Raw genomic sequence first — 13,063 nt, forward strand, 5'->3', positions numbered from 1 at the left:
TAAATTCCACACTTTTCTGATTCCTGGACCAATATTCTCGTAACACCTCATGATTTATGTATAGAACCTGTGGAGAATGAAGCTACCTAAAAGTGCCCTTTGTGCACAGTCTCTGATAAAATATGTTATGATTTGCCTAAATTGTCTCTTACACTTGAAATTACTTTTAAAAAATCCATGAAAAATCAAAGTTAAAAGTAGCAGACCATTAATGTTATAAAACAACAGCTTTCCTAGTTTTCTTCTTACTAATAAAAGTCCTGATTGGTGTTTGTTAAGTTGCATCAGCTAGAGATTAAAATAATTATTAACTATTTTGCTAAGATTCAAACAGATGGAAAATGCTTGAAATATCTCAATTTTGTACTTAAAATAAATGCTTATAAAGTGATATATTTTAGGTTATTAAGGACAATTTGTTGAATACTTGTCGAGTTAGTGTTTGGCTTGTCCTATTCTTTTAAAACAAGTCTATTGTAGCTCTCTTAACTCTCCTAACAGCTGGCTCCCATTCAACGTCAAAAGTACAAATTTTAATAACTATTTCTAATGCCATAGTAACTTTAGAGAGATGGGGCATCCCTTTTTAATTATTAAAAAAGGGTCTGTTTTGGTGCCAAACTACAGAAGGTGCAGTTTTGAGGACAGATTAGAAATTGAATACACCAAGGTAGCTGCTTGGGAAAATGAACAGTATATAATCTAATCTCTTTAATTTTATGTACATGAATATAATGTATGTCAACTTTGTACATGAGATACATATAGTATTTAAACATTTTACTCAACAAACAAGAATTTACAATAGCAATATAACTGACTAGAGGGCTATCAACTTAATAATACTTAGATTAGATCTGTACTTTAATAGGAAAAGAATTTAATAGTTTACAATCATAGAAACACTGACATTTAAAACAAGAATTTATAAAATAATTTATATATATCCTAGCATCTACAGAGAGGAATGATTTGCATTTGTGGGTGTGTGCAATGAATGGCATATTTTAAATTTTTAGGTAATAAAATAATTTAGAAGCAGTTCATGCAGTGGTCAAAGCAAGGAATGGCAAGTTCCTTCAAGAAGCCCTCTATCTTTGACACCAACCGGCATCAGACACACACTAGGTACCATGGGGCACGCTAGAACAAGTCTCCTTCAAGAGTTACTTATATAAACATCAATATACACACGTTGATATCCTTCCTTCCATAGTACAAGTACAGGTCACAACTTCTCTCAACTGTGGGAGTAGTCAGTTTATACTTAAAGTGATTTAATGTCCCTCCTGGAGTTCTACATAATATATCTCTATAAGAAGGTAACTAACAGAACTTTCTAGTTTTCACAACCTTACTCTGATACTTTACAGAGTGCCCCCCATGTCCTATGACATAAACATCCAGCAGGTAAGATTTGCCAGGCTGAAGACCTTTAATTGTTTCTGTGGTCACTGCTTTCTGCAGGTTTTGACTGTGGAAATATTTACAGAGGACCTTTTCTGACTTCTTCCTTATATCTGGTCCTAGACATTGGTTTTGCTCTCTTTTCTTCTGGTCTTCATTGTAGTTATCATCCACTTCTTTTTTGTAGATGCAAAACTTGTTCCTTTCCTGAGTGCCTAGCCAAGCCACGGTGGCTGAGGAACAGGTACGGAGCTTGTCAAAGGCTTTGATTCTTGTGTCTTCAGGAAGAGAGGGAAATGACTGCTTAGTAGGCCTTGTGGTAGCTAGAATTTTCAACATAGATGCTCCTTTCTTGTTTCCTTTCAGTCGAACGAGGTATTTAGCTTTAGGTTTTCCTCTAAGCTGAAACTGCTGAATGCCTTCCACATTCTGAGACAGAAGAAGTTTCCCATCTCTTCTCACTTGGATTTGGACAGCATCCAGACAAGAGTGAATAAAGAAGGTGACTTTTTGGTGAGAAGAGACTGGAGCAAACCGTAGAAACTTTGCTCCCTTCCTTTTAACAAATACATCTGTTATCTTCCCATCTTTTAGCTCGACTGTCTTCTGTTTGGCTTCTTCCTTGGTCCTGGCAAAGGTACCTACATAAGCGGTGCTCATGTTGCTGTTGATGTTGACCACAAATACATCAAAGTAGTACTGCGTGTCGGGTTTCAGATCAGAGACGGTGAAGATGTTCTTGTTTCCTATGCAGATTTTCTGAATATCAACCTTGGGCCTGGAGTAGACATGACGCCCCAGTTTTGGAGAAGGCTTTGCCTGGAAACTGCGTTCTTTACCTGAATTATCAGAAGGAAATCCAAAGTGGGCAAAGTCAAAGGGGCTGAAGTCCAGACCAGGTTTCGGTGCCATCATAAAAGCATCATCTGCACTCAGTTTTGCTTCCACTGCACAGAGACTTTTGAAATTGTGCTCTTTGTTGATGACCACACAGTACTGAATGGGTTGTTTCAGCAAAGAGGCAGTGGGGCTTGGTTTCCAGGCCAAAGTGACCGTGGTGCGCCCCAGTGAGGTCACATCTACTCTTGGGTCATAGGGTAACTCAGGGTATGGCTGATCAGATTCTGGAGTTGTGGTGGCATATACTTTGAAATGTGTGTCTTTCTCTGTTGAAAGAAGATCCAACTGATATAAACCGGATGGGGAACTAGACGATATAAAATACTCAACATCATTGCCTTTGTAGGAGAATAACTCAGTGCCTTCCTCATTAATGATCTGCTGCTTCTGCTGCTCAAGAGGTTCCAGATCACCTAGAAAATACAGGAGAAGCACAGGCTACTGTCAGGGCATACACTGTGGCTTGCCAACCTTAAGTTATCCTTTTATCTTATTTTTTCTCCGTTATGAAAATAGTACATGTTCATAAGTAAAAATATTTATAAATGTATTCAAGATAATATTTATTTTGACCATTATACATAATGTTCTTATATATGTGTAAGGCTTCTCTGAATATAAATTATTTCTTCAGAGCAGAATCCAATTAGTAAAAATTTTAGGTCAGAGACTGTAAACTTTTGAGACATTATTAATCCTAACTGTCAATCTGCTTACCAAAAGAATTGTATCAGTTTGCATTTGGATGGCCAGCCATTTTGCTAATTTCACGGCTGTTAGAAGGACTAGACAATCTGATTAAAATACACAATATAAAGTACCAGTAAGAATATTTGGCTGGGTGTCATGGCTCATGCCTGTTATCCTAGCACTTTGGGATGCTGAGGCTGTAAGATTACTTGAAGCTGAACCTGGACAACAAAGAGAGACCCTGTCTCTGTAAGAAATAAAGATAAAAAAATTAGCTGGGCATAGTGGCACATGCTTGTAGTCCCAGGTACTTGGGAGGCTGAGGCAGGATTGCTTAAGCCCTGGAGTTCAAGGCTGCAGTGAGCTATGATTGCACCACTGTGCTCTAGCCTGGGCAACAAAGCAAGACCCTGTCTCAAAATAAGATAAAATAAAATAAAATAAAATAAAATAAAATAAAACAAAACAAAACAAAATAAAAAAAGAATGCTTAAGGTTCAAAGTATAGAACGTGCACCCAGGAATAACACAGGAATAGTGGTAAAGCTAAACTAATTTTTTCCATATTTTGTTACCGTAAGTATCAGATATCACACAGATATCAGTGTATAGCTTAGTCTCCAGGGCTTGGTGAATGACTGGGTAGCTACAGTGAGAAGAAACCTTTTCCAGCTTATCATTGCAGGTTGAAAGTGAGCTATACAGAATTTCCTATTCCTAAACTATGGGATAAACACAATCATCAAACAGATATATTAACATCAAGATTTGGCCAGGTGCGGTGGCTCACACCAGTAATCACAGCACTTTCGGAGGCCGAGGTGGGCGAATTGCTTGAGCTCAGGAGTTTGAGACCGGCCTAGGCAAAATAGTGAAACCCTATCTTTACAAAAATACAAAAAATTAGCTGGGCGTAGTGGCATGCACCTCTGGTCCCAGCTACTTGGGAGGCTGAGGCAGGAGAATTGCTTAAGCCCAGGAGGTGGAGGTTGCAGTGAGCCAAGATTACACCATTGCACTCCTAAGCGACAGAGCAAGACCCTGTCCTGAAAAAAAAAAAAAAAAAGCCCATCAAGATTTGTTTTCTGTATCTTGGTCTCTTTACTCCCCATACACACTTCCATAATTTTCCTAATTGCGATGTTTGCCCCTCTTTGAAACTACTATAGCTAGCCTTTGTAGATACGTATACATAGTTATATATATATGTGTATATATATATGTATATATATATATAAAGACTATGTGTGTGTGTGTGTATATATATATATATATATATATATATATATATATATATATATAAAGACTATGTATATATATATAGTCATTTGTAGGGCACCCATTGTCAAGCCTTCACCTTTAACCTATGATGCCCTTAAAGAGCTTTCAGGGTGCCATACAAACTCTTCTCATTTCTCTTTTATTTTATTTGCTCTCTATCATCTGTCTTCTTTAAATGCTTAGCCCACTCATCCTACTAACTTTGTTTTCATCTTGGCCTTTAACTGCTACTAAATGCCTCTCTGCTTCTCTGTTTCCATCTGTTATTCCCTGGAGATCAGAGGTTCTTAACCTTGGCTGTATATTAGAATCACCTGGGGAGTGTGGCTAAAAATCCCAAAGTTTGGACCTCACCCCATTCCAATCAAATCAGACCTTTGCAAGATCTAGGCATCAGCAGTTTTTAAAGCCTTATACGTACGTGATTAGGATGTTTAGGCAAGATTGCAAACCACAGCCATAGAGGCTAGTCCAAACCTCTCCCCTTCTCCTCAAGCCGTCAATCCCTGTACCTGTCTCTCCTAACCTTTTATTTTATCAGGATCAGTGTCATCTGATGCCACCCTCCCACTTCCCTTATCTCCGTCTCATACCTCCAGATTCACTTGTGCACCCATGCTGCCTTTTCTTACTAACACATAGAAGGTTGTATGTTTCACAAGCATTAAAACCATCCATTCAAAGGTCCAGGGGCAGATCTATCCTGCTGCTTACCTGAGCCTTCCCCGCTCCTGTCCTCTGGCAGCTCCTGGAGGCTCAGCTTCCACTCCAAAGGCGCATCACAGGGCGTCACTGTGACTGATAATGGAGTATTGTCTTCTTCAACCACAAAGAAATACCTGTGGGAAAGTGGACCACTTTAGACCGTGGTAATTCTTTCTAACATTTACAATCAAGACTTACCAGAAAAATCATTTGGTTTTAATTTTTTTTTCATTTTATAAATTTTATAAAATTTTCATAAAATGTCATTGTATTTTCCCTTAACACAGTTTAATAAAATTGGCTATTTGACACAAAACATGATACAGCATTAACTGTGGAAGTCCAACAGCCCCAAGGATCTGCAACCAGATTTATCATCAACAAATACAGCGTGAAATAAAACACATTGAACCCAAAGTATTTTGAGTTAAAAATCAACACTGACCTGTTGCCTGGTATTATTTAACACAGGCCCCGCCACTGCAAAATAAATCACAACCAAGAAAATTTCCAGGTTTGTTGCCCTATAGGTGCCATGCTTTCCATACATTTGGTGATAAATTTGTACATTAACTTGAGGGCACTCTGACATAGTTGCAACTATTTCAAAAGAACATTTTCACAGCAACCTAGTTCTAAACTGTGTGTTTGTCTCTGGCAATATAACGCTGTATTCACATTTTTACATTAGTGACTTTTATTCACAGCTTTACTATTTCATATCTTTTTATTTGTTTGTTTTGAGACAGTCTTGTGCTGTCTCCCAGGCAGGAGTGCAGTGGCGTGGTCATAGCTCCCTGCAGCCTCAAACTCCTGGGCTCAAACGATCCTCCCACCTCAGTTTCCTGAGTAGCTGGGACTGCAGGCGTGTGCCACCATATCTGGCTAATTTTTAAATTTTTTTGTACAGATGGGGGTCTCACTGTGGTGCTCTGACTGGTCTCAAATTCTTGGCCTCCAGTGATCCTCCTGCCTCAGCCTTCCAAAGCACTGGGATTACAAGTGTGAGGCACCATGCCTAGCCCATTTCATATCTTTTGGAATCGCATTATCTAATCACCATTTGAGAAATACTTTAAAAAGTAAAGAGCACTGTGTCAGTCAGTAGAAAGACACATTTCTCTAACACAGGTTTTCTGTTGAATTAAATAACTTAATGATTTTAAAACAAAATTTAAAAAATCAAATGTTCTACTCTGTGCTTTCCCCTGAGCCTTTATTGTAATGCCTTAAAAAGAATAAAAATATTGCTTAACTATAGAAATACCATATACTCTTACTCCAAATGACTTAGATGGTTTCATTTAATTATCTTTCAAAACCTATAATCTTGCCAATGAGGAAAGAGTGGTTTCAGTTCCAGCAAGCCCAGAGTTGCTCATTGATTCCATGCAGAGAAAAGCAGGCTTTGCCTCCTGTGGATTGAACCTCCTGGATATCTCTTGCCTTCCTATTCTCTCCATAACCCTGACCAACACTGACCACCAGAGCCTCCGACCCCAGCAGTCTCTTCTGCTGGTTCCTTCTCACCTCCCTGAACTCTAATGTTGGGAGTGAACCACAGGACTGTGCTTGAACGTCTCTTTTCTACCTATGCTCACTCCCTGTGTGACCTCATCCAGGCTCATACAATTAAGGAATTTTTCCCTAAGGCTAAAACCTAAAGCTCCGATAGGACTCTCAGCTGGAAATCACATAGTACATTTGCTTTTTTAGGAGATTCCTCTTGCTGCAGTTTTAAGGAATGATTCGGAGGTGGTGAAAGTGGAGGTATGGGAAACTACTCATTAATTCATCCAACAAACATTCCTTGAGATTTATTTTAGTCTTTGAGACTAAAGAAAAAGCATCCCCGAAGAAATGACTTTACATGTGAGTTGGGGCAAAGGAGTTCTTTTCAGGCAGAGAAAACCACATCCCATAGACGGTAGGGTGAGTAGGGTTCAGAAACTAGAGAAGTACTTTGTGGTTTGAGCACAGAGTTAAGTGGGTAGTGACAGGACAAGAAACAGGTGAGGTAGGCAGAGGCCCTGTCACTACAGAGGTTTGTGACTCATACTCACATTTAGAGTCATTTCTTCAGGGATGCTTTTTCCAACTCACTCTGGATCAGGTCCTCTGATGCATTCTCAGAACGTCCTATACTTTTTACTTTCGGGCACTTATTGTTACTTGTGACTATATAATTGTATTATCATTTGATTAATGTCATTTTCCTCACAAGGGCCCTGTTAGGGTTCATTTATCACGCCTTTGTATTCCCAGCAATTAGCACAGGTTTCTGCATGTATGTACTTGATCAACATTTTAAAATAATTGAATTACTAAATAAGTAAATAAAACCTAAGAATCCTAACACCACACTTCTTGTTCTAGCCTGGTTCATACACCTAGAGTCTCCTTCTATCTGAAGATATAGAATCTGAATTGAAATACAAGTACTTCCCCCAGCCACCACCATTCAAAGATGCTTTTGGAGATGGAGAATGGGAGTGGGGCTGTGGGCAGACAAATAAAGTGAAGACCCTATAAATGCAAAAGCAACTTATTCATATAACAGTAAAGTTAAACAATCATCTAGACAAAATAGATGATTGAATTGTTTACTGTATGTGAAGTTTAATGTACCATAAGCATTCCTGAACAGTGTCAGAAGGCTTAATTTTTAATACAGTCTACTTTTTGTGAGTAGAATTTTGTCCCTTTGGCCAGATTGCATGGGAGTTATTAACCACATAAACATAATTGAACCTATCTATATTACAAAGGAATAGGTACAACAATATAACTAGTTTGGCATCATATAAGTAAAAGAGTGTTCAAAACTTCGTGTTTGATTTTAGGTTTTATGTGAATAACAGAGCTAAGCAACGGCACAGAAGAAAACAATGTACAAGTTTGTCTATTACCTTCTGTTCTCATTTCACACAAGGAAGTAGTTTATTTCCAAAACTGTGTCTTAGTAACTTAAACGTAGGTCATAGGTGACCAGTTACAAATAAAACAATGCTTTCATTCCACAAGATAATGATTATGCATATAAAGCAGCAGGGAGACCCTCTAAGTTAACATTTTCATATGGAAGCACTTATGATTAGGGATAAATGATAATTTGAATATACTTAACAATTTGACAGATATTTATTGTCTACCATGCACAAAGCAACTGTAGAAGAGAGTGACAATCAGAGATGACGGGACATAATCTACATGTTCGAGATATTTACTGGCTAGTGAGGGACACAGAAACATAATTAATAACTAAGGAAACATGGCCCAAATTATAGTGCCAAAGCTGAGGGATAAGCACACCATGAGCCATTTAGCCTTTGGAATTTATGTATAAACGTAAGAATAATTAATGCATTTGCTGTCTTTTTAAATTTACTGCTGTGCAACTTTATCTGGAATTTCTTTTTTTAGTTGGAATATCAACAACATGTTTGTGTGCTTATCATTACATATTTCACCCCTAGAAATGAAGTTTCTACTTGTGGTTATAATCCTTTACTAGCATAAGTCTGCTTTTACTAGTGTATGTTAACATTTTTTCCTATTGTGGATACCAAGGGCCTCAATAATCATTGGCGGAAAAAAGATAAATATAAAGAATGAATAAATGAGAGAAATAAAAAGAGAAAATGTTGTTTTATAATGTCTCTTAATAAAAACATGGCGCTTTACTTTAAAAGTGTAATTTCTAAAACAGCTCTTACAGGCAAAACTTATTTAATTTTTAAGAAACTGGAAGACTAAAGAAAGATGAATCATTTAATTAAGTGATTGGATTACATAATGTGGAATGCTGTATTTAAAGTATATTGCAAAGAAGGCAGTGCCCAAGTGCATTTGGGAAATGAAAGTAATTTCTACAGAAAAATTTTGATTTGATTTCACTCACACGTAAATTTCAAAGGACAAAATAATATGAAAAGCCAAATGTGCCCAGCAAGAACTCAGTTAATAGTTAAGATTAACTTGAAGTATTATGACTGCTTTGTATGCCTTTTACTGTTTTCACAGACTCAATTTTAGTCAGGACCAAGAGAGCAAGTTCCTTCAATGTAATCATCCTTTCCTTTTCTGCCTTCACTCCCATGAATGTCATTTAAAGATTCAAAATTATTTTATATGTTATTGACAAGTCAGTTACTAGTCTAGTGTGTTCATGCAAACAAATAATTTTACTCGAGCAGTGCCAAAATGATAATCCGAACAATAGTTCACTCTAGTTAATGTAGGAAAACTGATCACCTATCATCATTTTGACTAACCAGATGGAGATAAGACTGGGCCATTGAGTGGAAGGGGTTCAGACCACCATCTTCCATGATTACTGTTAATCAAAACTGAAAAGATGACTAATGATCTGATATATCTCAATCTCTAGAAAATGGGTTATTGATGTTCTGAAACAGTTTAATCCTTTGGAATTTCACTGTATCCCAGGTTAGAAGGAGCAACTGGTTTTGAAATATAATTATCCAAAGATTAACTGTGTGTGCTAAACTTACAAAGGGAGAAGAGTTTGAGCACTACAAAATAGGTAACTTTAAATGTAATTAATTTATAACATATTATTTTTATTTTATATATATATATATTTTAAAGGTCAAAATATTTAGAAACTTTATGTGAGCCCAATTTGTTGATGTTGGAGTAAAGGTAAATAAACCGTGTCAGTTTTTATGACTGTTTAGTTTGATTCTCTCAGAATATGATAATATTTGTTGAAGAAATATTATACTCATAAAACATAATGCATTAAGTGTGGTGTCTCATGCCTGTAATCCCAACACTTTGGGATGCTGAGGCAGGAGGATCACTTGAGCTCAGGAGTTAGAGACCAGCCTGGGCAACATAGTGAGACACCATCTCTACTACAAATTTTAAAAATTTGAGGGGAAAGGTGGCACACACCTATAGTCCCAGCTATTCATGAGGCTGAGGTGGGAGGATTGATTCATCCCGGGATGTTGAGGCTACAATGAGCCATGACCGTGCTACTGCACTCCAACCTGAGCAACACAGTGAGACCTTGTCTCAGAAACAAAACTTAATGCAAACTCTTGAAGAATCATACATATTCATGAAAATTGATTTCACTTTAATCCTACAGAATCCTTCTTAGAAATATCCTACTGTACTGAGGCCGGGCGCAGTGGCTTACGCCTGTAATCCCAGCATTTTGGGCGGCCAAAGAGGGCGGATCACGAGGTCAGGAGATCGAGACTATCCCGGCTAACATGGTGAAACCCCGTCTCTATTAAAAATACAAAAAATTAGCCAGGCGTGGTGGAGGACGCCTGTAGTCCCAGCTACTCGGGAGGCTGAGGCAGGAGAATGGCGTGAACCCAGGAGGCGGAGCTTGCAGTCAGCCGAGATTGTGCCACTGCACTCCAGCCTGGGCAACAGAGCGAGACTCCGTCTCAGGGAAAAAAAAAAAAAAATCCTCCTGTACTGAAAAGAAGAAAATAATCATTCCAAAATGTAAGAAATGCAAGCATTGCCTCCTACACGCAAAAGGAGATGACAATCAGCAAGAATCAAACAGCCTCTATTTCATAATTAGAAGTTGCACTGCCATGTTCCCCCTTACTTACAGAAAATCGGTAATGCCATTCATAGGTTGATTTGTAAATTACCTAAACTAAGTCTAAAGGTTACTCTCTTTTTTGGAGGCATCCTTTGTGAGCTTTTTAATAAAGAAAATACTGCAGGGAGAATACCTCTTAGGTGTATCTCTAAAGAGATAACTGCTAATTTCAGCTCCATCTGGAATTACTGACGAATCATGAAAAAATGCCTTGTCCCGGATCTGCATCTGAAAAAGTTCCTCATCCCGGGTGGGTAACTTCTGGGTCCTTGAGCTGAGTGGAAACAGGAGCCACAGCAGGCACCAGTGGAGCAGCACCATCCTGAGGCAACAGAAATGACTACTTTATTAGTTCTGCAGGCAGACACTCAGGCAAGTCACAGACTTTCTAAAGGGTTAACACTATTTTAGCTTTGATGGAAATTTAGGGACGCATCATGTATTTTGGATACATACACATGATCTTCAAGGCAACTTTACTATATTTTTTCTTCAAACATTTTCATGATGTTAAAAATAAATTCACTAGAATTTCAGACATTAAAAAGATTTTGAAATGAAAAGACTCTTGCTGCATTAACTTCTCTGGGTATTCAGAGAGAAAATCCTCACTTCATTACAGCAGAAGCCTATATGGACATTGTAGATAACGCTATATCAATGTCTCAAAGCTTGCACGAAAATAATCTCTTAAGGTCAGTTTTTTGAACTATTATAAAAGTTATACCAATGGTTGGTTGGTATCATTGCTCAGCAGTCAAGTTGCTAATTGCTGATATGGTTGAACTATTACATTCAACATAAATCACAGAGACTCATTGAGAACCAGAAAATTATCACTGCTCAATTATTTTTATTCTTCCCTAAAATCTGACTAGGGGTTATACATATATAACTCTCTACGTAGTATTATGCTTTTTCCAAGATCAAATTTTCATAAGTCAAGGATTTTTATAAATCATAAACTTCATCTCCTTCACAGATTAAGCAATTTGTCCAGAATCACAAGATGAGTTATTAGTTGATGTTTAGTTGTTATCAGGTACCAGAGTCTTCAACACAACGTTGACATATACACCTCTATCATTTTAGAAAATGGGCTTGAACCTTCACTCACACATCAAGCCAGAAAGGTGTATATTTAGAACATTTGTCTTAACCTCCAGCAGAGAGTACTTTCACTGAGTTACATTTTGGCATTTGTCACTGACTTTCATCAAAGATCCTCTAAGTAATGATGGATCATTCTCTACTGCACATTGCTGTAGGGGTGTTGTCAAAGACACTGTCTTCCACATGTCTTGGTGTTCCCAACAGGAAGCCCCAGGTAGGCAAGTTCCTTGACATGACAGGTCTCATGAAAAAACTTTGCTTCCTCTGACCATTTGGTATTTTTTTTTCCTCACAGAAAGAAATATGTAAAGAATTGTTTTCCTTTACCTCTTTGACTTAACATACATCAGGGAATTAAAGCATTAGAGAAATATAGTGTTTTTACATTGAGGTACTTTAAATAGCAAATATTTGTGATAATTCAAGATGAAGTGAATGCCAGTTTTATTTTTAAATGGACATTACTATAATCAACCTCTACTTAAAACATCATTTGATTTTAATTTTATCTTTCTTTGAATGCTATCAAAAATAGATTCAGATTGCAAAAATATATAGTTTGAAAGAAATAACATTCTCTTTTTTACAATGTGGACATGAGAGTTGGATTTTTCACAACGAGCTTGTGCAAAATGCATTTTACTTTTCTCCAAATATTCTTTGCTGTTCTGTGTTCTGCGGTTTTCCATACAAAATATCTGCAGTGATCTAGAGCTACTATGTGCAAAGCACTGTTCTAAGTTCACGAGTTGCATTACTACTTTTAGTCCTCACAATAAGCCTGTGAAGTAGCTGCTATCCTATGCAAAAACAAAACTCCATTAGGTAAGCAGAGAAAGGATACAAATACAGGTGGATCTGACTGCAGAGCCCAGTGTTCATCCTCTGTAATATCTCTCCAGAAAGCCATAATAACTTATTATGAGGCTTTTCTTTCCCACTCTTATTTCTTAATTGTATTGCAAGTGTAAGAAAATTCAACTGAGAGCTAAGAAACTTGATGTTTAGCTTCAGTTCCTTACTAGATGTGTGATCTTAGGCAATTCACCTAGCCACTCCGGACCTCAGTTTTTTGAAGAGTTTGGATGGGTGATCTATAATCAGCAATGCTTCTGAGACTGAATAAACTTTTCTTCCTAAAAAGCTGGCAGTTTAAGAATAAGACCAGGCCTTCTTAAGTTGCCTGAAGTAATCTCTCCCTCAGATATCCAGATGATTGTCAAGGAGAAATCCAAAAGAACTTGGGGATGTCAGTGGGAGCTCATGAGAGTTGCTAACAGTAGACAAGGGCTATGTCTGCAAAAGATGGCTGGATGGATCAAAATCAAGACTAGGTTGATATAATCTAACCAAGCAAGGACATGGTGGACT

General features: G+C 37.6%; 1 protein-coding gene across 3 annotated transcripts in view; it reads right to left on the minus strand.

Moving 5' to 3' along the window:
• Positions 1-675: 675 nt before the first annotated feature.
• NDNF (neuron derived neurotrophic factor) overlaps positions 676-13,063 on the minus strand; it is a 36,923-nt gene continuing 24,535 nt past the window's right edge. For all 3 annotated transcript variants that reach the window (NM_024574.4, XM_024454212.2, XM_024454213.2), the window contains exons 2-4: positions 10,713-10,901; positions 4,993-5,117; positions 676-2,720 (exon numbers count right to left, since the gene is read on the minus strand). In NM_024574.4, coding sequence (NP_078850.3) covers positions 1,327-2,720; positions 4,993-5,117; positions 10,713-10,900 — 1,707 coding nt within the window. In that variant the 5' untranslated portion in view covers position 10,901 and the 3' untranslated portion in view covers positions 676-1,326. The remainder of the gene's footprint in view (positions 2,721-4,992; positions 5,118-10,712; positions 10,902-13,063) is intronic.

This window comes from Homo sapiens, chromosome 4 (genome assembly GCF_000001405.40).
Source record: "Homo sapiens chromosome 4, GRCh38.p14 Primary Assembly".
Classification (NCBI taxonomy): Eukaryota; Metazoa; Chordata; class Mammalia; order Primates; family Hominidae; genus Homo; species Homo sapiens.